Below are 26,763 nucleotides of genomic sequence, written 5' to 3'. Positions count from 1 at the left end.
AGAATAGAAATAAAATGCTAAAAATATTTCTAAAAATAAAGGTTTTTATACAGAAATAGTAAGGTGTAATTAGAAATTTTGCAATTTATATTTATCTGGGACCAGCTTTTTCTTACAATATATCTGTATGCTTGTTCAACTTAAATATACTTGACTTTTATACACGTCTAAGAAATATATCATGTCTAGGAATAGGTGTCTGACTTTGGACTTTGATCTTTATAACACTTTATGAGGTAGGTATTATTAGCCCCTTCTACAGATGAGAAAACTGAGGCTTAGAGGGGGAAGGTGGCAACTGTTAATGAGTAGGGCTGGTGGCCAGTCTTAGGCTTCTACTCATTTACTTCTCATCCTGCAATCCCATAAGCTTTTAGGCCTTTTCCTCACTCAACTTTCATGAATCCCAATGAATGTGATCCAACAAATCCTAAAGAGAGACCCACCTTCTTCCCAGATATTTTTATTTTCATTTTCATTTTAAAGGCTGTTAAATATCCAGTGGAATGATTATCTACTGGTAGACTTTCAACAGCTATAAATTAAACTAGAAAAGTGGGTGGCTACTCCTAAATCTCACCTTTCTATACATTAATCCCAGTTATCAGAAAAAAAGAATCTCCTTGGTGAGAACAAAGCTCCAGCCTCTTCTGAGTAGAGGGTAACCTTTTTCAACTGATCACCATCATCTGAAGGGGCTTCAACAGAACTGCATAGTATCCCAGAATTAAATAAATTACACGTGTGGTTATAAGAAAGTTAAGCACTATTTATCCACATCATTAGTCATAGAAGTTCTCGTAGGGAGGAACAGCCCAGCCCCACAGGTCAGCCACTTCATGTTTCCCTAACACTTCCACTGTTTTTTAAACACCCGCTTCTTGATTTATGACTGTACTGTGGCCTCAGGCTGGGGCTAATAATGCAGCACGTACCACTCCCGATCAGAGTGACACACACATTTCCTCGCACCAATTTAAGTCATCCCATATGTGGGCTCTCGTCTTTTATGCTGCTATCTGGAAGTTCATGAAAACAGGTGACCTGTATTGCAAGCCAGGGACCTTTACTTCAACATGAAGACTTTCAGCAAACGATTCTTACTTCTCAGCTAAACTGCAGCCACTCAGTATTCTTGAAGCCTTTTAGCCTTTTTTCTACCTGCTCCTTATTTTCCTCCAATTGGGTCATTTACTTCCACTAGGAATGCTTTCCCTTATCCTCACCCAGTGTGAACAAGAATTATTTTTCACTTTCCTTACAAAATTGCTACCCAGGTGATGAGCTCCAGGTCACACACCACCACCACAGGAAGCCTTTCTCATTTCCACCTCTGTTGATCCCTTAGCACACTACTGCAAGTCATGGCCATGTTGTGTCTATACCTGGGTCAGATCCATATGTGTTTCTATGCCTGGCACATTTAGGCAACCAGAAAAAGTCAACTAACTATTTTGAAATTATCTATAAGTGTAAGTGTCTTTTATATTCTAGATATGTACTGAGTGCTAGTGATATATTGATTAATAAGACTGATTGGCCAGGTGTGGCGGCTCATGCCTATAATCCCAGCACACTGGGAGGCCAAGGTGGGTGGATCTCTTGAGGTCAGGAGTTCGAGACCAGCCTGGCCAACATAGTGAAACCCCATCTCTACTAAAAGTACAAAATAGCCAGGCGTGGTGGTGGGCACCTGTATTCCCAGCTACTCGAGAGGCTGAGGCAGGAGAATCGCTTGAACCCAAGAGGCAGAGGTTGCAGTGAACTGAGATTGCGCCACTGCACTCCAGCCTGGGCAACAGAGCGAGACTCTGTCTCAAATAAAAAAAAAAAATGACTGATTTTTTTTCCCCATCAAAGTACTCACAGTCTAGCAGATGTAGATAAACATACACATGCACAAAAAAGCTATAATGCAAAATGGTAGAGTCTATGGTAAACAGCTCAAAGTATAACTAAACTTGGTTCTTGGGAAGCTTTGGATAAGCATGTAATGTTGAGTTGGCCTGTGAAGCACGGGATCCTTGTGGGAGAAGGGGAAGAGATGTGTTGCAGGCTGTAGAAAAACATATGAGGAGGCACAGAGACGTGGCCTTGGTGTGGCAGGAGACTGAAGACGACAGAGGACCCTGGAGAGATGGATGAAATCAATATCGCAAAAGGTCTGAAGGGCATGTGGAGGAATGTAAAGGGGACCTAGACTTTTAGACAGTAGGGCAGATCAGAGCTTTCTTAGCATATGAATGGCACAGTTGGCACTGATTTCAGATAGATTACAATCACAAGGATAGGGTATATTAAAGTGGGGACGGTGGTGACAGACCAGCTAGTTAGGAGATTGGTACTCTGATCTAAGAAAGAGCTAGTCAGGGTTTCTGCCAGCCTCACAAAAATTGAGAGAAGTGATAGCTACTCTAGGAGAAGAATTGACAGCTCAGGAAATTTACCAGATGTGGGAAGTCAGTAAGAGAGTAGAGGCTAGAAAGATTTTAAATGGGATTAAAATAACAAAACTGATTCTTGGCCTTTGGCACGTAGGCATCCCCTTGGCACCTGGCCCACCCTGAAACAGGGCAGAAGAAACTCCAATAACCTCAGCCTTCTCTGGAAGACTTAATTTTCCCAGACCAGTCTGAGGAGAGACTAGAAAGTGACCACTGGTGCCAAAGGAAGGATCTATCTAGGCCTGAGGCAGCACAATGATTTCTCTTCATTCACTCATCTTGTTAATCCTTTCTTAATCAAACATTTATTAAGCAGCTTCCATCTGACCTCAAGTAACTTGGTGGAGGAAGTAGGAAAGTAGATTTTGTGGGATGAATTTTGTCCCTCTAAATTCATATGTTGAATCCCTAACCCTCACCTTAGAATGTGACTGCATTTGGAAATAAAGCCTTTAAAGAGGTAAATAAGTTAAAATGAAGCCATTAGGGTGGGCCCTCATGTAATCTGACTCATGTCTTTCTAAGAAAAGGACATTTAGACACACACAGAGATACCAGGGATGCACACAAAGAGGAAAGGCCAAGTGAAGACAGGGTGAAGCCGTGGAGAGAAGCCTCGGAAGGAACCGTCACTGTCGACACCTTGATCTTGGACTTCCAGCCTCTGGAACCATGAGAAAATACATTTCTATTAAGCCCCCCAGACTGTGCTATTTTGTTATGGCATTTCTAGCAAATGAACACAATGGATGACTACAATTTGTAGTGATGAATTTGATACAGTTGAAACCTGGTACAATGGGGCACAAAGGGAATCGTGATCAATTCAGCCCATGAGATCTAGGGGAGCAAGAAGTCCTCAAATGAGGTTCTGAAGGATGAGCAGGAATTTGCCAAGCAAAAATTGAAGGATGCCATCCTAGGCAGAGGAATTTCTGCTTTTGGCTCCGCAGTTTGTCGCTCCATATTAGTCCTGTCCATTCCCAGGGTCTGTTTGCCTCAGCTCTCTTCCAGCTAGACCCTATTTTCAAAAAGAGCACGAGCTCTGTTCTTTCTCGAGGCAACTCTCTGCTTTGCCTGATGCTGCTTGGCTACATCCCGAGCAAGCTGCCTTCAAGAGTTTGTAAAATCACTGCTGACAGCCACAGCCCACATGGCCCTGCCAGCACAGGCTCCTCCAAATGGCCCTTCATCCAGAGAGCATTGACCTAGTCTCATGGATTGGCCCTGCTTGAAACGCATGCCTTTTTGTGCACCACCATGACCAGGGAAATGGTGGTGTTCCCTGATTGCCAGGGCAGCCGGGGTGACCATAGCAACTCTGTGATTGCTGCTATCAGAACCACATGAAATGGGTTTAGGAAAGAGGAGCTCTCTTATCAAATGTAGAAGGAATACCAGGTAGACAAAAGCAGCAGCCGTTCATTGCAGTATTATTTTTACTGCCATTTAGAGAAGAGAAAACGGAGGCTTGGAGAAGAAGTGGCTTGTGAGCATTAAACATTCATTCATTAATTCAGCCATAAGTTATTAAGCACGTACTATATGTTAAGCACCATGCTAGGTCCTTGGAATCTATTAATGACTGAAACAAACAAACACTTCTAGTTTTATGTAGATTGAACTAGAGGGGAAAGTGGCATCCAAAAAAAATAAAATTTACAAATCAATTAATTGTATACCAAGAAGGTGATCAGGGAAAAAAATCAGGGAAGGAAAAGGGGTGCAGACAGAGATAGTAATAATTTCACAGGGTGAGTCTCATTAAGAAGTTTATATGTAGGCAGAGACATAAAGGAGGTGAACCCATTGGTTAGGCCAAGGAAGAAGCAATACAAGGGCCATCAAGTAGGAGCTGCGTCTGGCATTGTTGGAGGACAAGTAGCCAGGAGGACAATGTGGCTAGAGAAAAGTGAACAAGGTTAGCATATGAGTCAGGGTGATTGGAGCTTAACAGTTTTCACCTTAGGTGGCTTGGGTTTCTACTAAGAACTTAAAAGGACCTCAGGCCAGTGCTTCCAAGGACGTAGGCTGCCATTAAGGGAAGTGGGGAGCCATCGCAGGATTTTGAGCAGATCAGTACTTTGATCTGATTCAGAAGGATCACTCTGACTGCAGGGGTGAGAATGGACTTCTCCGTATTTTCAGTAGGAGAAGAAAGCACACAGCTTAAATCCAGCCCTGGCTTTCTCTGACTCCAGAATCTCAGCACTTATCCTGTGGTGTACAGGGAGGGCCTGGAGCCCTTGAGTGTGGAAACTTTTAGACAGCGAGACCCTGAGGACTTAGCAAGGCCTGTGTCCTGATAACCCCCATCTTCCTACCTCCAACCAGGTAGAGGGCATTTCCTAACCAGTATTTCATACCTAGAGAATCTTTCGAAAAGTCTCCTTGCCGACCCCCATCTCTGTGTCAATGAAGAGATTTTATGGGCTTGTTTAAGAACCCCATTTGCTTTTTATACAGATTTTTTTTCCCAGTCTCTTTTATACCCAAGTGATATTTTTAAATTAATTTCATTGAAAAAGATATAATTATGAAGCTTGCTTATATAAACTGTACATGCAAAGATTCTCCAAGCCTCTCCTTCAATGTAGAGCTCTTTTGTGGGCAAATGAAGCCTCCTTCTGGATTATATTTCTACGTCCAGGTTTGCATAATTATTATTGCTAAAAATGTATCCCTTTTCTTCAGGCCTAGCTCTCTAACCTTAGCAGGCAGGATGCTCCCAGAATTGGGCCGGCCCTCTGCAGAGGCCTGGATCTGAGGGAGGAGAGGTGGGCCAGGCAGAGGTAAGCAGGGAGAAGAAGGGCATCCCAGCTCTCTGAGGACTGACTGACCATTAGCGTTACCTTGGCTGAGTGGGGCTGAGCAGGGTATCTTCCTCTCTTCTGACACTGCATCACCAGCACCCTGTGAGGGAAGCTCAGGACCTCTGGAGTTGGGAGATACTTGGTGTGTGCGTAAAAGCAAAGGCTCTAGAGCCAGAGACCTGGGTTCCAGTCTCAATTCTTCCTTCACTAGCTGTGGGTCACCAGGCCAAGTGACTTAATCTCTCTAAACTTAACTCGTCAGTGTGCAATATGACTATATATGGGATAACATGTATAAACACTCAATGTGGGGCTTAGCACGGAGTAAGAACTCTGAATATTCACCATGTCAATATTCATTTAGATGCAAAAGATCTGAACTCAAGCCCACCCCTGTCCTTATAAAGCCCACCCCAGTCCTTTATAAACCTGGGCAAGTTACTCCCTCTTCTGAGTCATTTATGAAATGGAGTTAATGATTCCTGACTATCTTCCAGCATTATTTTGGAGTCTGTATGACATCATAAATGTGGAAGTACCTTGCACATTCTTATCGTTACAAAGCAAATAATCTCAAGGGCTTTGGACTTTCAGAAGCTTCTGATCTGGATAAACTGACAAAAAAAATATGCTTCACAGACTTGGCACAGTTATTTATAGCCTGGATCCCCTAAGCTGTAAAGTATTTCCTATGGGGGAGCATGCAACAGGACCCCTTGTTTTGGTTTTACTAATGAAACGGGTTTCATATGTTACCTGAGACCTGTAAGAACCACCTGAAACATCCTTGCCATCTACTGCCACTGCACTGCCAACATTTAGGATACGCTTACCCACTGCCATGTAGTTCAGGGGCAAGGGTGGGAAGAATTGAATAGCAGATGGGCAGAAGGCAGTAGAGTGAAAGTGAACGTCGGTACCAAAGAGACCTCCAAGGGAGTCGATGTCAGACAAGCACATGTAAAATCCCCTTCAGGTAGCTGGTGTTGCACAAGGGTGGAAAGAAATACAAAACCATAACCATAATGAAAATAGCTAAGGTTTTCAGAGGAAGGAGAACTCACTGGGGTCCGTATGAAAAGCCTTCCTGGAGAAAATCAGAACCGAGAGCAGCTGGAGTACTGGGAAAATAGAAGAGAACAGCAGGAAGGTACTAAAATCCGAGGCCATCTCTATCCTTTGGTTTTTTAGGACTAAGGGACGAGACTACTCTGGTGCTTTCAAGATAGCCCATCTGAAGGAGCCACTCCTGAGATTTAAAACTGCAAGAATGCTTTGGTCAGACCTGTGATCCAATGGGCTTCAGTGGGGGTTTGCAGGAGGCAGGACTTGTTGTCAGCCTTAATTTTGGTAAAAACACCCACTGCCCAACTCTTCGGCAATGAGTAGGAGAACAGCCCCTAACATTTATGAGCCCTTACCATGTGCCCTTAACACTTGTGTTAGTTGCAGGTTCTCCTTCATTTACAATGGGGTTATACTCGGATAAAACCATCATAAATTGAAAACATCCTAAGTCAAAAATGCTTATTTTCCACCAAATATTTTCGCTGTACAATGGTTTTGTCAGGACATAACTCCATCAATGTGTATCACTTTCGCACCACAGTAAAGTAAAAAAAAAAAAAAAAAAAAAAAAAAAGTAAGTGGAATTACTGTTAAGTCAGGAATCATCTGTAATTTCAGATTCACAGGAATGACATGATAAGGTCCTATTATTGTATTAATTATTTACTGCTATATAATGAATTACCACAAATTTTAGTGACTTAAAATAACACACATCTATTATCTCAAAGTTTCTGTGGGTCAGGAATCCAGGTATGTCTTGCCTGATTCCTTCAGCTCCAGGTCTCTCACACAGCTGCAATCAAGATATCAGCCAGCTCACAGTCACCTCATTTCAACTAGGGTAGGGTTCATTTCCAAGCACACTCAGTGGCTATTGGTAGGTCTTAGTTCCTTGCTGGCTGTTGGGCAGAGGATATCCTTGTTTCTTGCCATATAGACCTCTCAATATGGCAGCTTGCTTCCACATAAAGAGCAAGGAAGGGAGACAGCAAGATGGATTTAAATTGATTTCAGAGTCTTTTAAAACCTTATCTCACAAGTGACATCCTGTCACTTATGTGATATTCTCATTAATTACAAGGAAGTTACTAGGTCCACTCCATGAAGGGAATTGCACAAGAGTATGAATACCAAGAGGCTGGGATCTTTGGGGGGACACCTTAGAGGCCTTTCTACCATAAATATGATCTCCATTTTACACAAGAAGAAATGGAAGCTCAGAGAGTTTGGAGAACTTGCTTTAGGGTCTCATAGCTAATAAACTGGAAGGAGGATATGAATGTGGGTAACCTGAATCCAGAGTGCCAATGCCTTTCATCAGGATGCCCTCCAAATAGCATGAACTGTGCTGTGTGGAAGAAAGGCTTTCTTCTTCAGCTATTACCACTGCTGGGGGGGCTTGAGTTAAACCCAATTTATTGTGCCAGAGAATAATCTGTACATCTTGCCTGCCACAACTCAGATTCAGATAGCAATAATTGTGGCCCTGCTGGAGCACAGAGTAAAGCACTCATTAGAGAAAATCTTGGCCTTTGGAGGATGGAGACATAGAAAAAAAAAAAAAAAAACACTGAGTGCCTAGCTGGTGCCACCTCAGGGTCTTGGACTTTCATCCATGTGGGGAAGCATTATCCCCTTATTTTCATGGGGCTCTCTCTTCTCATTCAAGCTTCTGCTTCAGGTTTTTCTGTAACCTCTCCAACCTAAAACATCTGACATACCCATCCCTCTCTATTTTATTTTTTTGTTTTATTTTTATAGCATTTCTTCTGATTTGATGTCATTTTACTAATTTTGTGTTAAACTGATGATGCTCGGTCTTCTTGCACTGGAACATAAGCCTCACGGAAATCAGACCTAGTCTGTTTTATTTACCCTTATGCCCCTAGAACTGCATGCAGAAGGCTCTCAATGGATACTTGTGGATTGATTTGCCACATATATAGCAGACTAAGGGTTAATTGGTATTTAGGTTGTATAAATAATACATTCATAAGGAAGAGACAAATATCCAATGGAAAATCAACCAGAGATGTGAACAGGCATTTCCAGAAAAGGAATCCCGAAATGCAATGAGCTGGAGAGCCCCATTAGTAATCAGAAAAAGAAGATATAAATTTATTTCCAATTGACTAGCAAAAATTAAATGGTTTCACAACCAAGAATTATCAAAGCTAGTGATAAACACAAACACTCACATACTACTGGTGAAAATGTAAAGTGGTTCATCTACTTTAGAAAGCAATTTGGCAATATATAATTACATTAAAAATTAGCAGCCTGTATGGTCTGCAATTCCTCTTCCAGATGTATATTTTAGAGGAATTCTCAAAGATGTGTACAAGAAGACATGTGCAAGAATATTCATTACAGCATTGTTTTTAACAGTGAAAAGTTGGAAAACATTCAAACGTCCACCTATAAATAAATACAATGTACTATATATATAAATTATATTCAGCTGTTAAAAATAATGACCCAAACTATAATACAAATCTCAAAAACATGTTGACGTCCACTTCTGGTTCTGATGCAGTAGCTGTAGCAAACCACTGTTCTAGCTGAGAACAGTAAGAAAAACATTAAAAAAAAATTAATTGTCTTGAAGGCAGCAGAGAGCTGCTGAGGCAGCCAGGAGGTTAAGCTGCGTGCACAATTTTCTGAACTCCACTTTGATGCCTGCATTGGCTAATTCTTTGTGCAGGGGCCTGGGAAGCCTGGCAGAGGACAGTTGCTGAGAAATCTTAAGGCACTGAGCAGAGAAACATTGGAGTCTGCAACTGCCAAGGCACCTAGGACTCCAGGGGCCACAATGCCAGGGTGACTGTAGACTCAGGGAAATGACGCAATAGTCGATGGGCATCTAATTATAGAGATATCTGTAGCATGGTATTATTGGGAGAACTAATTAAAATGAATATGCCCAATGTGATGTCTTCTTGGCAGTGACTTTCCCTGCAGGAGGCAAGGTGGCATGATGAATGAGCCAAGGATGTCAGGATGGTGCATCTTTAAGAGATGCATCGCTGGGTAAATCCTATGTGAAATTGTCTAGAAGTAAAAGTTGTGAGTTTAAATCCCAATTCTAATCTTTCTTTTTTTGTTCCATTTCCTCCCCACAACTTCTATGTTACTTTGTATATTGTACCATATGGTAGAAAGTTGGAGGAATTTAAAAAGAGTCTGTAAAGTGCTCAAAATTGGAAATTACTTAAGTTTTCAAAATGCATAAAATTAATGAGAATTGCATAATAATCAATAGTGCTGAATTCATTTTAAGCTTTGTTTTCACTACTGCCCCATGGCAACGGTCTCTTTGTTAGCACGCACAAATCTGTCACCAGCCCATTCTGTTGTTTACCAAAAGGAGTTGGCAGGGGGTCATTTTTGTCACTACTCAGTGTTCTTATAATTAAATTTTTTTCTATATCTTATATCAATGTCACCCAAGGGTGCATTAAGTAGTGGAAATAGTGCTTTTGCTGAAAAACATTTCTGAGAATAAAAACATTAGGAAACAGGATTAGATGTGATAAAATACTATGATGAGGACCAAATATCTGCCAGGATAACTCGAGCAGTTGATTTAGGAAAACACTACAGATAACCTCATTGAACATGAAAAGCTCTATTAAACAGACATCTCTAAATTTTCAGAAAATCCTTATTGGCATATCCTATATTTATTGTTATAAAAGTAAGTTCAAAAGCAAAAACAAAAAAGTTACACTTTCTAATGGTACTTACAGATTTACAAGTCTCAAAAGTGAAATCTATCCTTCTTTACATTTGTGCCTGTAAGAAAATTAGCTTTGAATTATTCAAATGTGTAATTATGTGAAGTTTCCAGCAATGAATCATTTGTGTAGAAAGGGACTGTCTTGCACTGACCTCCACAGAAGCTCTCGTAGGCCATAGTTCTCTGTGGATGGCCCGTCTTCCTACCTAAAGACATCCTGAGAGCAGCATCCAACTCCCCCAGCCTGTGCCCTCCCAGCGCAGGGGCCAGGGAGGTTTCCCACAATCCTCTCTCCCCTAGGGCAGTTGTTGGGGGTCTGTGGGGCCAGGATTGCTCCCATACCTCCCAGAAACCTCACCCTGGGCCTAGGGGACAGGCCTAAGATTGCAGGGCTTCTGATGAGACTAATACAATGGGCTGGCTAAACCCTGAATAGTTAAAGTCTAGGAACTCGGTAAGGCGGTGAAAGCTCGGTGCAAATGACGGCTGCCTTCCAAGTCTTGATAATTTCAATACGTTTCTCAAACTTTGCAGAGAAGTCCGGCCTCTAGCCAGACTCTCACGATAACCCAAGGCAGCATCACCCTTGGATGTGCCTTTGCCTGGAGTCTCAGTCCCCAGAGCATGTGAAGCAGGTTGAAGGGTGGCAGACAGCATGGCCTAAATGCCACTAGGAGCAGGGGGCTTCAGCATCCCCGTCACAGCCTGTTTAACAAGTTCTCACTTTGGGCCTCAATTTCCTTACATGCAAAATGAAGCTTGCATTAGATTATTTCTGAAATTCCACCTTTTTTTTAATGGGCGTATGAAAATAAAAAGAAATTGACTATCCACCATCTCCCCCCAAAAAATTTGAACATAAATTTTACAACACACCAAACCCACAATAACCTTTCCTTCCCTTAGTGCTGATCCCTGCTACCTTGAGTTTAACAATGCTCAGAGACCTTTCCTGTGCTTTCTGTTTTATGATTTGAATATGACAGAGTCCAGAGGAAAGGAAGAAAATGTCTCCCTCTTCTCAGGACTATCCTTCTGTCTCCACCTCTCCAGCTGTGAAATGAGAATAACAATCACTACCATAAGGAAATACTTATCTCCAAGGGATATGGGGAAAGTTCATGAGATAATGGCGCCTGTAGCTGCCAGAGGAGGAGGAAGGGGAGCAGGAGTCCCTGACACCACCCCAAGGGGTGGTAGCTCTTTAAGGGTCACAGGGAATCGCTCCAGGGGCCCAGGTGGGAGCAAGATGGGAGTGTCAGGAGCGTAGATTTGCAGCTTGGTCTTATTATTACTATTGTTATTATTATTATTTTTTAACTTGCTGGGTTTTGGTTCCTTGCCTTTCCTTCTCCTGCTGGAAGATTCCGGAGTTAGAGACCCCAGGAACTCCTGTCTTGACATTCCCTTTTTCAGTACTTCTATTCCTGTCTTTGGGAACACTGTCAATATCCTGGCAAACCATTTGACATTTTTCCCCAGCAAAGCTGTTTCTGAGTCTGCATTCAAAGAGCAGACTTTCTTAAAATTAGAATTTGGTCCTGCTGCCCTTCAGCAATTTGAGGTATCCAATCCAGGGTTGAGACAGGCCAGTTTTATTTTTAGGTGTGGATAGTGCCTTGCTGTTCCCCACAGAGAATCTGAATCTTTTTGGCCTGTGGCCACACACTTATCCTCAAGGCCTCACCATGGCTGGGCTGTGTCAGCTCACACCTGAATCATTGCCTTAGCTGCTACCCAGTACCCTCCAATCTCTCGGTGCTTCATCCATCCCTCTGGGTGCCCTTCCGGCCCCAATACTTTTATCAGCAGCCTTCAGCACCTCCCTAGTCAAAGAATCAACTCACAGCTACCTATGCCACATCTGTCTGGGATTTTCAAATACAACACTTTGCTTTTTCATCCTGATGAGCTTTTGAGGGCGGTAGGCAGTCTTATTATTGTTTCAATCTTAAAAATTAGAAAAATGGGGTATAGAGAGTAGTTTGCCCCAACTCAGTGTTACAGATGGAAAGCCAGAGAGGAACCCTAGGACGACTGGATGGAAATATAGGGCTCTGTGTATGCTTGATGGGCTTTCTTCCTTTCTTGGTGATTTTCGGCCTTCACTGAGCATTAGAATCACATATAGAGGACTGAAAAATAATAATTGTTCCAACTCATTCCCCCAAATCCTGTCTGATTCAGCAGGTCTGGGGACTGGTATAGGCATTTTCAAAATGGTGAGACTGTGGTTCTTCCTAAATTGAAAACCACTATCCTCTCAAGTAAAGACCTAATCGTCTTTTCTAGCCTTACCTCCCATGTTATCCTTATCCAGATACCAACCTTGGGTCAGGCCAGGCTGGTAAATTCATTGTGTCCTGGATTTCTCTTGCTCTATCTGGCCTGTGCTCCTTTGTTTCTATGAGATCCTCTGCCTAGAATGTTCTTCCCAGTCCTCTATCCCTACCCAAGAATTCTCCTGCCAGGGTTCAATTCAATCCTGCCTTTTCCAGGAAGGCTGCCATGAATCTCCACGGCCATGGGGATTCGCCCTTCATGGAATCCTTAGTTTACTCATAGCCAGGAGGAATTATTTTGGCATTTATCATTTATTGCCTTATGTTGCTACAGATCTGTTTCATGGGTTACTCTTATCTCTGCAGAGGGACTGCAAGAGTCACAGAGAGTGTGAGAGAAGGCAGAAAGAATGAATAGAGGATTCAGAGTCAAGAGTCTTGGGTCTGACCCCTGACCCAGCCAACTATTGGTGACATGACCCCGAGCTGATCATGGTTTCCTTACTGTTATTTTTGCTATCATTTGTTCACTTTGTCTTAGAGTTTTAGTGGTCTTCATTCCAAAAAGAAAATAATGTAGGAAACCAACAATTTCAAGATTCTGTATCAAAAAGCACCTAGCAGCATTCCTGTAATCTCAGAAGCTCTCAGTATCTTGCAGGTCTCAATCTGAGACCTAAATCCAAGCCTTCTGTCCAATTCTGTTCTAATTATACCATACTAATGTGAAGACTTGGATTTTCTGAAAAAAACGCAACTTAAAAAATGTGATTTTTCGTCACATCCTAAATGCAAGGAAATCCCAGGTCTTCACCTGTAAATATGTGTCGAACTAAAGAATGAGCAAATGAAGCACAACTGGAGTTCTACAGGAAACACGCGAAGAGGAAAAAGAGAAGGAATGATCACACCTGACAAGGAAGGTCTGAAACGTCTTTGAAGATGTGACATTTAGCTGTTGAGGTTTTAGGACATAAATAATTTCTCTCTTCCTCTGAGGATTCAGAGTCAATTCAGTATGGGCACTAGGGCCAGAAGGAAGAAACTCAAACTATCAGTTGGTAACTCTGGATTGGAGAACAGGCCTCTTTCCCCTGCCTTTGCAGTATAAACCCTTATGAGGGCAGGGCCAGTCCCAGGCAGACGTTCTCACCCTTCCCACTACAGAGGGCATTACTCCTTCATGCCAGTCCTGCCCCCGTGGAGGGACTTGCCCTGAGCACGGGGCTTCATGACTGCCTCTAGACGGCAACCACAGGGAGAAAGTAAGTGGGAGCCAGGCAAGAAGCCCTTGATCTGCAGGCAGGAGGAGCCCTGAAGACGGAGGGATGGTGGAGCTGAGCTGGGTATGCTCAGGTTCTGATCCCAGTTACTCCTCTTCTCCTAGGAAGAGCGAGTCAAAGATGGAGTCAGGGGCTGGGAATGTTCCTCCATCTTTTCTCCTCCTAAAGAGAGTGGTGAAACTCTCGACTTTGCCTCTCCTCTCTGTGGAAATAGGAGGTACGGGTAAGCATTTCTCCCTAAAAATGGTCATGATGATAGCAGGCAGACATTTAAGGACAAAAAAGAATCAGAGGAAACTGTATGTATAAATTGTACATATGCATGCTTGATGTGTGAAAATGTGGAATATGTACATGGAAGGGGGTGCACCCTGGTGCATGAGGCCTGTGGTGCACAGAAGAAACTAGAAGAGAAGAAGGAAAAAATGATATTGCCAGATTTTGAGAGCCTCAAATTCCAGGCTTAGGAGTTTGACTTTGATCATCAGGCAGTGAAAATCTATGCCTTTTATTGGAAACATAACTCTAAAGCCTCTGCCTGCACCAGCATAGCAAGCAGAAAAACTGGCCTTAGCCACCCCCTCCACTTGACCTACTTGTGAGCAATCCTAGGTGGAGTCTCCTGGACTCCAGAATAAGATCATGCTGCACATTCACCTAAAATATATTGCAGGAATTCTGCAGCCAAATATCCTTGACATGAATACAGAAACAACAGAAATACAACAAGCAGATGACTGAGAATTGGACCCACTGGTGGGGATTTGGAGGTGGCAGAGTGCAGCCTGTGGAGTGTTTGGCCCTGAGGGTCACATCATTCTGAGGACAGGGCAGAGCTGCAGGTGAGCACTTAGTGAGGGTCAGAGGTAGCATGCAAACATGAGCTTTGGACTCATTAACTCAAGTAAGAAACAGCACTGGGGGAAATAAAGGCTGACCCATCAACAGAGGAATTATATTCAACTCTGGCGAGAACCACGCCAACAGTCCAAGCAATTTAAGAGATGTACTTAACTAGTGTGAGGAGGAGTCCTCTAATTTCTGTCTCCAAATTGGATAGCATGGACTCTTTACATTTATTCAGCACACTGCAGTGTGTGAAGCCCTTTCACATAACATTACTCATGAGTTGTCACAAACAGCTCTGTGAAGCAAGGAGAGCTAGGGGAGTACAATCCCCATTTTAGGAAACTGAAGCCATGAGTTCCATGAGGAGGTCTCAACTCAGGCCAGCTCTCCCTCTGGCTCCACTGTAACCTTGTGGTTTTATTGATGGGGGCTTTCCTTGAGGAAGAGGATGCAGGAGTTGATCTGGCTCATCAGTCTGTCCCCCTGTGGAGGTAGAGGCCTGCGCTAGAGAATATTGTTATGGTCCTTCATCCTGTAAGGTACCATCCACACGTACTATTTCCAAAGTGACTGAATTTGCTTAATCCAAAGTGGTTAAGTAGAATGACAAACAGAGATGGGGTGTTAAAATTAGGGTTAACTGACAAGATTAAGAACGTCCTATACTGCTAGATTTATTTTCCTCCTTTCCTGGTCTTTTAAATGGGCCTAAAATATATAAAAGTGGATACAGAGATACAAATTGGTAGCTCTAGGGCCAGAAGATGTTTAAACTAGTGTTTTAAAAAGCAATAGTTTGAACATCAAATTCAAGTCATGTACCTTCCAGTTTGACAAGGTTTGTACCATTCCCTATTGTCTTATATCAGACCCACTTTTATTCCTTCAGTCAGTCAACAACAACTATTTACTCTACGCCTGTTCTGAGCCGGGCGTTCCCCCATAACTACATTTTCATTACCTGCCTGGGCCCACAGACACTTGAATAACTGGTCTCCACCCTAGACCACAATCGAGGGGAGCTCATGTTTGACGAATGCTCCTTTATTCCTCTGAGCGTAACCTCCGTACCTGAAGTTTACATCACCTCGAAGCTAGGGTGTTGTAACTAATGTTCACCCTGGGTCTTCAGAGATTGGTTTTTCCAAAGACTCTGCTGCTTTTCCTTTTAAAATCCCAGAGCCAGAGGCAAATGGTAGGCATTCCTCTCCCCAGAGCCCAAATAGGTGGCTGAAACCTGGAAACTTTCAGGGACTTGCCAAAGGCCCCAAAGGTAGCAGGGAGGCCTCCCGGAACGACTGGTCCTCTTGATTCCAAGCCCAGAGGTAGATCTCCTGTCCTTGAGGGGCTTTGGTTTCAGACCCTGCCTGAGAGAACAAAAGAGACTTCAGTTGTCACATCGACACAGCCCCGAGCTGCTCTATTTTCTAACTTGGCTGGCTTTCCCCGTGTGCTGTTTCACATCAGATACCTCCTCCCCCCACTTTCCTTCAGATGATTGGTTGAAATTAAATATCCTGAAATTACATTGAAGGGGGGGGGCGCTAATACAAAATTTTAATCAAAATACAAGCTTAACAGTTCCCAGCCTTTGAAATGTGAAGCAGACACTGGGTCCGCAGGGATGCCCCGACATGTTCTCAGGTGTGAAGTTAGCCAAGGAAGGGGCCCATTCTCTGAACATGAGAATTGCAAGTAAACCAGCACATTGCAAACTCAGGATTTCCAAATGAGGCAGGGCCTTCTCTCCCTTTCCACAGCGTGCATGGGCAGGCTGGCCCAGAGGGAAGTTCTCACTGAAGACACTGGAGGAGAAAGGGTCCCTCGTGAAAGGGTCTGGGGGTTCTCCCTGCCCCACCTGGCTTTGATCCATAGGTATGCCATCCAGGGCCTGAAAGCTCAGGAAGGAAAGGACTGGATAAAGGAGCTTGCAGGGGAGGCAAAACCCCTGATATAGCAAGAGCCACTCTGATGGAATGAGGCAGACATCGGGCGCCCTCTGGTGGCACATGCCCCACCAGACAACACGGAGGCTTTCTCCCTGGATTAACTCTATAAATAGAAGGATGATTTATTAAACAGATTTGAGGCTCATTTGAAGCACTGGGCCATGATTGCTTCGGGGCTCAAATAAGGAGGTGCTTAGGACCCTGCCTCTTATGCAAACACCTGGACTCACTTAGCAAGTCACTAGCATGATCTACATTACAAGTGCATCGGACACTGTTGGCTCAGCCGTTCCCAGCCAGGAGATGCCAAATTCCTCATATATAAAAGGAGCTTTAGTAACTCAAGCAAAATAAGCACACTTTTCCCCCCACTGCCTTCCCAGAGACCTAGGCGGCAGAGTTTCTGTGAGGATACACAATACCTTGTTACAAACCATGTAATGTTTTAAAAAGTATCTATCTGACAGCCTTGGCTAAAGCCAGATCTTCTATCTCGATTACTTCAATATGTCACATCCATATCGCACCACAGCGTCCAAGCTTTCGGAGCCAAAGCCTCTCTGTCTTGTCCAACCTTCCCATCTGGAAGCAATGAGCTTAATATTCTGGCTCTCCCCCCGTAAAAGCTATGTCACAAAAAAAGTAGCAGCCTGTGAACTGCTTTAGCCCCCCAAGACACACCAGAGCTCCTCATTCTCTGCAGGCTCTGTTCAGTCACATTTTAAGGCCCTCCCCTGCTCCTCCCCTCCCTTGCTGCCCCTGTCTTCCAAACAGCCTGAGATGCTCAGCGCAGTACCAGGAGGACAGGAGTGAACTGACAATCATTTATACTTTAATCCTCCTTTACGACATTTTGAGGGATGCAGCTTAAAATATCATGGAGGCTGACAGACTCCCTCTGGAAAAATGTGTCTGCTAGAGAAGAAGCATTGCCTTACAAGGACCCTACTGTTTCTGGTGACCCATCAGAGACCCAGCTTTGAAGCCTGTCTTGTACCACGTCTCCCACTCACCTTACCTTCTCCAACACTGCCGGAAAGTTTCAGTTCATGGTGACAATGACCTTCCCTATTGCATGTGCCTTAGTCATTCATTGATTCACTTACTCATCCAATTTGGATTGACTACATGGCATGTCCCTTTCCATGTTCTCTGTTTCACTGCAATGTCAAATGAGTCCCTGGCTCCCAGGAGCCTGAGTCTGTGAGGGAGACCAACCCCACTCCAGAACCATCAGATGAGTGTTCCTCAAAGCATGTTTCATGGGTCACTGCTGCGTGGGAACCTTTTGGGTGCCTGTGAAGCGTGCCTACGTCGTGGCCCTTGCCCAGGCCTCCCAAAAGAGGATCACTGGACGCCAGGCTTAAGAATGTGCATGTTTAATAAAATTCTCCAATAAGTAATTTCTACACACATTAAAATCAAGAAACCCACCGAGTTAGGTCAGATGAAGCAGCAAATGATGTTGCGCAAAATGCGAAAAGAGACCGTGGGTACGGAAGACAGAACTTGGGCTTTGCCTGGAAATGATATAATGCCGCTGCTCGGTCCCAAGTCCCTAGGTTTTGGAAGATTGGTGTGAGTGGAAGTCACCCTCCAGCGGAGCACCTAGGACTTTGGCTCCTTGACTGTTCTCCTTCGCCTGGAAGCTTCTGGGGGCAGAGGCCAGCTTTCCTGTGTTGAGTTCTTGGGAAGGGCCTCTGTGTCCTGGAAGGGACTTGAAAGAGCAGCTCATCTAAGCTCTTCAGTTTGTAGGAAACACATCTAGCTGACCAAGGGAAAGTAGGCTGTTCGAGGTCACACAGTCACTCAAAACAAATTTATTTAGGCTAATTCTTTGGTTTGGAGACATCAATACTTGGGAAGAAGCCAAGCTCATGTTTCTTAAGGCCTGTATTCTCCAATGTCCTAACGCATTACCCATTCACTGAAAAAGAATACACTAAAGAGTTTTAAAAAGTGCTCATCCGAGAGGCATTTCACAGGCGGGGTTCAAGTGGCCCGGCTTCCACAGGCGATATGCACAAAACCTGCTTCCTGAAATGCCATTTGGTTGCACTGGAGTTAACCTCTTTTTGGTAAATTAGTTCATGACCTGGGAACAGTTAAATGAAACTGTAGGCACATCAAGAGGAGGTTATTTGTGTTCTGTCTTTTTTTAGCCCAAGTCTCTGATGTGTTTATTTGGAAGCTTGGCTCACGCTTACTATCCCACTACTTACGGTTAATCCTGTGTTTTCTTTGAGCTACCTTTAAAACCACGTCAAATGAAAAATACTGCCTGATTTTGAAGTGCGTGGTATTATAAAAAGAATCCCAAGGTTTATGATCTCAAATTTATTGTCAAATGTATTTACTTATCATTTTCCTTTTCTTTTCTTTTTTTTTTTCCTGACAGAATTCAGCCTAGAAGTTTTTCGTATGAGTCATGATGGAGCAGGGATGGGAGATGTTATATAGTGCTTCCTGGGGAACTCTGTGCTACCAAAGAGCTGCCCATAGAGAGTGTTCCTCAGTTACAGCCTCTTGAAAAGCAAGTTAGTTTCAAAGGGCAGGGACCACATCTGATTCACCCCTTTGCCATTAGTATCTAACACTGTGTTAGGCACTCAGGGGCATTCAGTATGTGTTGGCTGGATTAGTGGCCACTGAAATGAACATGAAGCCGGCGCTTCCTTTTTTGTTTTTATTGAAATGAGCTTTTAAAGAGCTGAAATAGGTTTGTTATTTTTTATATGTCCATGATACAAAAAGACTAACTTTTAGAAAATAAAATGTTCTTTTAAAAACAGTTTTATATTCAGTTAAATATTCTGAAAATGACTAAAATTGTATAAATATACACAGGTATCTGATGTTTGCTTTGTACTAGTTATAAAGCAAGATTCAAAAAAAGAAGGTGGCTTTTTATAACAATTTTTTAAAACTTAAATCTTTTCAGACATGGAATCAACCCAGGTGCCCATCAATGGTGGATTCAATTAAGTCAATGTGGTCCATATACACCATGGAGTACTACACAGCCATAAAAAAGAATGAAATCATTTCCTTTGCAGCAACATGGACACAGCTGGAAGCCATTATTCTAAGCAAACTAACGCAGAAACAGAAAAACCAAATACCACATATGCTCACTTATAAATGTAAGCTAAACATTGGGCACACATGGACATAAAGATAAGAACAATAGACACTGGAGAATACAAAAGTGGGGAGCAGGGTGGGGAGGGTGGAAACAAACTGTTGGGTACTGTGCTCAGTACTGAGTGACAGGATCAATTATACTCCAAACCTCAGCATTACACAACAAATCTTTGTAATAAACCTGCACATGTACCCCTGATTCTAAAATCAAAGTTGAAAAAGAAAAAGAAAACACCCCAAATCCTTTTCATCAGAACTGTTCTTTTTTACCTGTTTTAGGAATCAGGATTGGTTAATTTTGGACTTTGGAGTATTCTCAGTAGGACCTGGAGGAGCTACCATGTCCTCCACCAAGGCACTAGGAAAGTCAGCTTCTTGATGTTTAAGGATGAATCAGGTGGCAGAAATCATAGTGGCACCCCCAGCTGTCCCTCCTTCCTCAGCTCTGTGGCTTCTGTCATCTACAAAGGACTGTGGGTAGGATGTGAGGCAAGGATGAAAGATGGAAGAAGAGACAGAGGGGAAGAGAGAAGGGAATCCACCCACTTTCACTCTCTTTTCCCAGCCACCCTGGATACCAACACACATACGCTCAACATGGCATGTGAAGAGACACAAAACACTTTTGCTTTTGCAAGTTATACGATGGCTTTCACTATGTTCTCAACTAGAGTCATTCAAGGCTCATATTTTGAAGCTGCCAACACACCCTGTGATGGAGGAGAAAGAACATTGATAAATCTTAGTGGTTCCTTCAATGTCTGGCTGTCTTGTCCCATACCCCAAGACCTTGGGCTTAATTGCTCTATTTCGTTCTATACTTGTTTCCTGGGGTCTATCTCACCTCCCAATCAGACTACACACAAGCTCCAGAACCAAAATATGTGTTTCTCCCTTTCTCTGCCTAGCTCAGTGATGGGCACATTATAGATGCTTGCTAAATATTCAATAAATCCAAGAGATGCTCCATAGCCCAGACACACCCATCACCTTCTGTAAGAATTCTCTCCAGATTTCTCCAGGCAGGAGACAACCCGGATACCTCTGGGAGATTTAAACAGACTTTAGGAACCTGCAGAGCCATGTTTCCAGTTGACCTCTGAGCTAACTATAAATTTTGAGATAATGGTTAAAACCCACAAAGCTTCCTAGAAATGCCGCTAGACTACATTAGGCAGATTAAGAATCGCAAGATAAATATTTTGCACATTTCCTTCTATTTATCAAGACTCTGCCTTCTGGGGCTGTGGTATTTCAGATGACTCGACTCCTGCAGGGTTAAATCGACTCCATTTGGGTTCACTCTAAACAAGCTCACATTCCAGCCTTGCAGTCACATTCCTGACTCGCACACGCAGGGCCCTCAGCAGGCCTTAATGCACCTTTCACATCCGAACCGTCCATCAGACATTAATGTGACGGAGCCATCACCAGACAAGTTCATTTTGCCATTAATATCCTGGAATAAGAACGTCGAATATACACATCCTGAGATTTAATCTGTAAACAGAGCCCTGAGCGTCTGGGAGAAGGAGGTGTGTTTATACTTCGTTACTGCTACTTCCACCAAGTTAGGTGGGGCTATCTCTGGCACTAAGCAGAGATGTTTTCTCAATGGTTGGAGGGTAAAGTCTGAGACGACGTTTTGACCTGCAATGTCTGCACCCTGATGGCTGATCCTGGGAATGGAGTACCAGGGCTCTCCCAGTTGACAACAAACCTCATTCTGAGAGGCCCCAAATGCCAGGGACAGTGCAGTTGTGTTCGGCTAGTGTTTATCTCTGGCCACCTCTGCAGGAGACTCATGGGGATGACTCCCCTTCTTCCAGGAAATGACAAGGGTACAGAGACAAAGGCATCCTCTGTAGTCCCAAGATTCTAAACTCTGCTGTCAGCAGCCATCACTTCAGGGTGTAGGATCCAAAAGCAAATTTGAAAAGAGTTTAGTGATCATTTCTAAAGTATCAAAGTATGTGAGAGACTGACAGCTTGAGTTCCTCAGAACAAATAATTGCCAGCTTCATCTTTTCCTGCCTATGCCAAAAATTAGCCTGTCCCATTTACTGTAAGAGCAAAAGCTTCTGTTTCTTCTACCCAGTTCAGTGGGACTACAGTTACTGATTTAGGATTAGGAGACATTAGAAGAAAGGAAAACTTATTTTCTCAGAAGAAGAAGAAAGAAAAGAAGGAAGCAAAAAAAAAAACTGTTTGAAATAAGGGTAAAGCATTGCCTTAGAAACTGATTTTGAACAGATTTCCTTTCCTTAAGAGGAGAAGACTCAAACTGGCAGCTACAGAGCACACCCAGCTCGGAAGTATTTTGCTTGGCCCCATCAGGGTTGGCCTGGGGAGTCCCTTTGAAACAGAGGCATGCGTTTGGCTCTGAGAAACTTATTATTTCTACAGATTTGCCCTCTAACACCCAGAGGGAGACACAGTGAAGCCTGGGAAGGATGTTAACTCTTGGTGGCACTGTGGTGGCACTGTCTAGACAGAAGCAGGCCTGGGAAGGATCCAGTGCAGACAGTCACCTCTAATTGAGGGCAGGGGGTTATTTATCACTGCTCCCTCTGCTCCTGCTCCCACGCATGCCCTGATTGCCCCACTGCCAGCAACTCCCAACAGGTATCACACACATGCACACACCACACCCGCATGCACACACTTTCTCACTATTTGATATGGCAACAAGGAGTTGCAGCTGAGTGTGAGCAGTCTCCTTTTGTATAATATATGCTTTCAGTGTGCCATACTCACACACATTGACCTGCCTGGCCCTGTGGGCACTGGACTTTGTAAGCACCCTGACATCTGCTTTGTTTTATAGGGTCTAGAACTGTCTGTTCTTTCTTTACCTCTGGGAAGACTGGGACTTATGGTGCAGCCACCAGATAGGAGATCTGGTGCTGAGCCCCAGGCTGGGGCAGCAGGAAAACCACACCCAGTTACTTCCAGTCTGTTCTCTCTCACCAAGGTTCCCTGTCCCTCCAAGAACTAATGCACAGAAACTCTCTCACTGGTGGACACTCCATGGTTAATATTCTTCTCTTTTCTTCTGTGATCAAAAGAAATTCTGTTTCCTCATAGATGCTGGAAGTTCCCTATGGAGAAAAAAAATATTATTATTTCTCATCTTTTTGCACTCATGGGCTAAGAGCTTCTCAAACCCCAAGGGCTCTGCTCACAATCACCAAACGAAGGAAAAAGCAGCTGGAAATGCAGCCCGGAGATGTGTTCCCAGGAGTTGAGACTCTGGCTCCCGTAGATTGCACCTCACACACGCACACCCTGTCTGTCTGTGTGCATTTAGAGCACGTTCTCAAGATCGAGTCTGATTCTCACAACGACCCCAAGTAACCACAATGACAAGTGTGATGAGTTTCCCACAGTTCACAGAACAAGATGGGAAGAATGGTCCAGAATCATCCCACAGGTTAGTGGTGGGGCTGGGACAAAGAATCCTTTTGTCTGGTTTCCTCCATTATTCTTTGCCTTCTGCAATACAATATTTTACATATTAAGAATCCCAAATAAATCAAGTAATGCTATTTAACTTCAAGCTAAGGCTAAGGTAAAATAATTTCCTAATTAATTCTTTAGAAAATTGTACTAATAGCGTAAATGATTAGAGAGGATGAGAATGACCAGTGGTGGTGGTGGTGGTGGTGGTGGTGGTGGAGGAGTAGGAAAAGGTGGGGCAGGAAAAGCAGGTGATTTAGACACTGGAATCTTATCACTTGGAACTTTTTGGATTGCAATTGCATAGCTACGTTCACAGAAATTGGAGTAATAGCAATACTATGGGGACACAGGTTTTGGTACCTAGCAAGAACCAGATCCTGGGATTTGATCTAGCTCGTCGCATTTAATTTTTATAGCCTCACATCTGTGTGTGAAGGAGGCATTTATTATTATTCCCATATAACAAATAATTGTCATTTAGTTGTGGAATCCATTTTAACAGGCCAGAATGTATCAAGAGCCCTCTGAATATCTGAAATAGAACAACAATCAGACACAGAAAGACAAATACCACATGACCTCACTTATATGTGAAATCTAAAAAAAAAAAAAATCAAATTCACAGACGTAGAGAGTAGAAAGGTGGTTAGCAGAATCTGGGGAGGGGTGGGTTGGGAAAACAGAGATATTGGTCAGAGGGTACAAGTTTCAGTTAGACAGGAAGAATAAGTTTACAGATCTATTGTACAGCATGGTGACTATAGTTAACAAAATGCATTATTGGTCAACTGATGGTCACAGTCAATTAATAGTGCATCATGTGTATATATCAGGAGAAAAATAGATGCAGGGCACATAGTTAATATAATCTAATATCATAAACATATTTGTGTATATATATGTGTGTATTTATATACACATATGTGTGTATATGTATTTATATAACCCACATACATATTCAAACATGTGTCTATAAAATACCAAAACAACACTAGTAAAATAATGATTGGGTGTTTAATAATTTTCTCATTCATTTAATTTTATAAATTCACAAATAAATTTGTAGTTTTTATTATCATAAAAATTATAAAGCATGTAATCCCATCACTTTGGGAGGCCAAGGTGGGCCAATCACGAGGTCAAAAGATGGAGACCATCCTGGCCAACATGGTGAAACCCTGTCTCTACTAAAAATACAAAAATTAGCTGGGCGTGGTGGTGTGCGCCTGTAGTCCCAGCTGCTCGGGAGGCTGAGGCAGGAGAATCGCTTGAACCCAGGAGGCGGAGGTTGTAGTGAGCTGAGATCACACCACTGCACTCCAGCCTGGCAACAGAGTGAGGCTCTCTCTAAAAATAATAATAATAATAAATAGTAAAACTTATCTCACAAATGAATGACATAAGCTTCTTTCTGATACTGATTGTTAGAAATCCTGAAATCTATGTAAAACAGCCATCCTTTCCTCCAAGACCCCACGTGTCACTGGAGCCACAATATTGAGCTTACTCTAACATAGCTAAGATGTCAAGAAAGAAGACAATTTCAGCTTAAGTAGTGTGGCTGGTTAGGTTTTTTGAGTAAGTTCTCCTTCTGAAAATATCTGAAATGCTATCCAAAATATATTTTTATATAATAAACACAGAAGAGCTTATAATATAGTAAGAAATTATCTGGTCAAAATCTATGTAAAGGCAGGAAACCAGAGATGTAAGGGGACACTCATGGCCACATTTTCCTGAGAGTATTGGGCAAATCAGATTAAAATACAGAGTGTGGAAGCCACACACCAAAGGCCACGCTTTCCCAGGAGGAGAATCCGCTAAACAACATATGCCTGTAAAGCTGGGATCCAACCAAAAATAAATCTGTTTTGCCTAATACACCACAATAAACCTGTGTCTCTCCTTTCCTGCAGGGGCCACATAGAAATCTGCCTTGGTACTGAGAAAATAGTCTCTGAGAAGTTGTCACCACAAATTATCCCTAACACATACTGAGAGTCCAAATTCACAATAATTGTTAAAAATAATCTTCAGACCAGGCACGGTGGCTCATGCCTGTAATCCCAGCACTTTGGGAGGCCGAGGCGGGTGGATCAGGAGGTCAGGAGTTCGAGACCAGCCTGGCCAACATGGTGAAACTCCATCTCTACTAAAAATACAAAAAAATAGGAAGGCATGGTGGCAGGTGTCTGTAATCCCAGCTACTTGGGAGGCGGAGGCAGGAGAATTGCTTGAACCCGAGAGGCAGAGGTTGCAGTGAGCTGAGATCATTCCACTGCACTCTAGCATGGGCGACAGAGCAAGACTCCGTCTTGGGGAAACAAAAATAAAAAAATAAAAAATAAATCTTCAAACTGCGCAGATTCAAATTGCAGAGGCAAATATCAGTACTCTCTGGAGGAATGCACTATCATTCTATCCTTGAAGAAGGCCCAGAAATAATTTTCCAAATAAACGCAGCAGCTCACAGTCCAAAAAGAACAAGGAGACAATAAACCATAAGTAAGAAGCAGCAAACAAACAAACAAAGGCAACAGGCAAAGTTTTGCAAAGACCTAAGATACTAGAATTGTCAGACACAGTTTAATAAATAATTAACTATATTGTGTTTAAATACATTAAAAGGAAAGCTTTAAAAATCTGTGGAGTGGAAATCCACAAAAAATGACAGCAGATTTGACAAAAATTAGAAATTTTTCAAATAAAGAGACGATTAAAATTAAAAACTCAATGATCAGTTTTAACCATAGATTAGAGACAGCTAAAAAATAATTGGTAAATTGTAAAACAGATTCAGAATAAATCATCCAGATTATAACATAAACAAAGAGACCTATAATGTGATAGAGAAGTTATGAGACATAAAACATTAAGTGAAATGGTCTTAGCATATTTTCAGACTCCCAGAAGGAGGGCATAGATAACATGTTTAAAAAGAAATATCTGAAGATATAACAGTTTAGAAATTTCCAGAAATGGCAAAAGACATTAATTTAGAGACCCAAGGAATTCAATGAATCAGAAACAGAAAAAAATTAAAGAAAAGCCAAGTTAAACACATTATAGGAAAACTGGTGAACACCCCAGAGATAAAAAGCTGAAGCTTGGTGGTGTTGGTGGTGGTAATGGCAGGGCACTGAAGGGAAGCGTTGTCTTTAAGGCAATGATAGACGAACAGCTGACTTTTGAACTGCAGCAATTGAATCCAAAGAAATGGAATGATATCTTTATTTTGTGTGTTTGTGTGTGATGGGTGCTGTGAGGGGTACTGCTGTCCTCAAATTCTCTATCCAGAAAACACATCTCTCAGGAATGGGGGCAAAACTAAAACATTTTCAGGTAAATTAAACTATATATTTCTTAGCAGCTGACTCTCACTAAAAGAAATTCTGAAAAAAAAAATTTCAGGCAGAAGAAAACTGATGCCAGATTGAAGGTCTGAGCCATAGGATGGAATAAAAACAGAGAAAGTGGGAATATGTGAATATCTAACAACATCTGACTCTATTCAGATTGCTGTCACAAATTACCATAAAGTAGGTGGCTTGTAAACAATAGAAATTCATTTCTCACAGTTCTAGAGGGTGGGAAGTGCAAAATCAAGGCAGCACCAAATTTGGTGTCTGGGGAGGGCTCACTCTGTATTTCATACTTGGTGCTTTCCTGCTGTATCCTTACATAGCAGAAGGGGCTAGCTAGCTCTCTGGGGTATCTTTTTGTAAGG

The 26,763-nt window shown here is 42.7% G+C and overlaps 1 long non-coding RNA gene across 1 annotated transcript in view, besides 1 other annotated feature; it reads right to left on the bottom strand.

The window, feature by feature from the left end:
- Positions 821-1,021: a silencer, noted in NCBI's record as "peak3612 fragment used in MPRA reporter construct". NCBI's record gives its function as "represses an SCP1 promoter by STARR-seq MPRAs in K562 erythroleukemia cells {active_cell/tissue: K562}" and the evidence as "EXISTENCE:reporter gene assay evidence [ECO:0000049][PMID:32103011]".
- Positions 1,798-26,763, bottom strand: part of LOC105373454 (uncharacterized) — a 148,852-nt gene continuing 123,886 nt past the window's right edge. The window contains exons 7-8 of the long non-coding RNA XR_001739302.1: positions 22,592-22,675; positions 1,798-15,848 (exon numbers count right to left, since the gene is read on the bottom strand). This is a non-coding gene — a long non-coding RNA (uncharacterized LOC105373454). The remainder of the gene's footprint in view (positions 15,849-22,591; positions 22,676-26,763) is intronic.

The sequence above is a fragment of the Homo sapiens genome, chromosome 2, assembly GCF_000001405.40.
Source record: "Homo sapiens chromosome 2, GRCh38.p14 Primary Assembly".
Classification (NCBI taxonomy): Eukaryota; Metazoa; Chordata; class Mammalia; order Primates; family Hominidae; genus Homo; species Homo sapiens.
The sequence above is the reverse complement of the archived record's forward strand: the minus strand, read 5'-3'. Positions and strand labels throughout refer to the sequence as shown.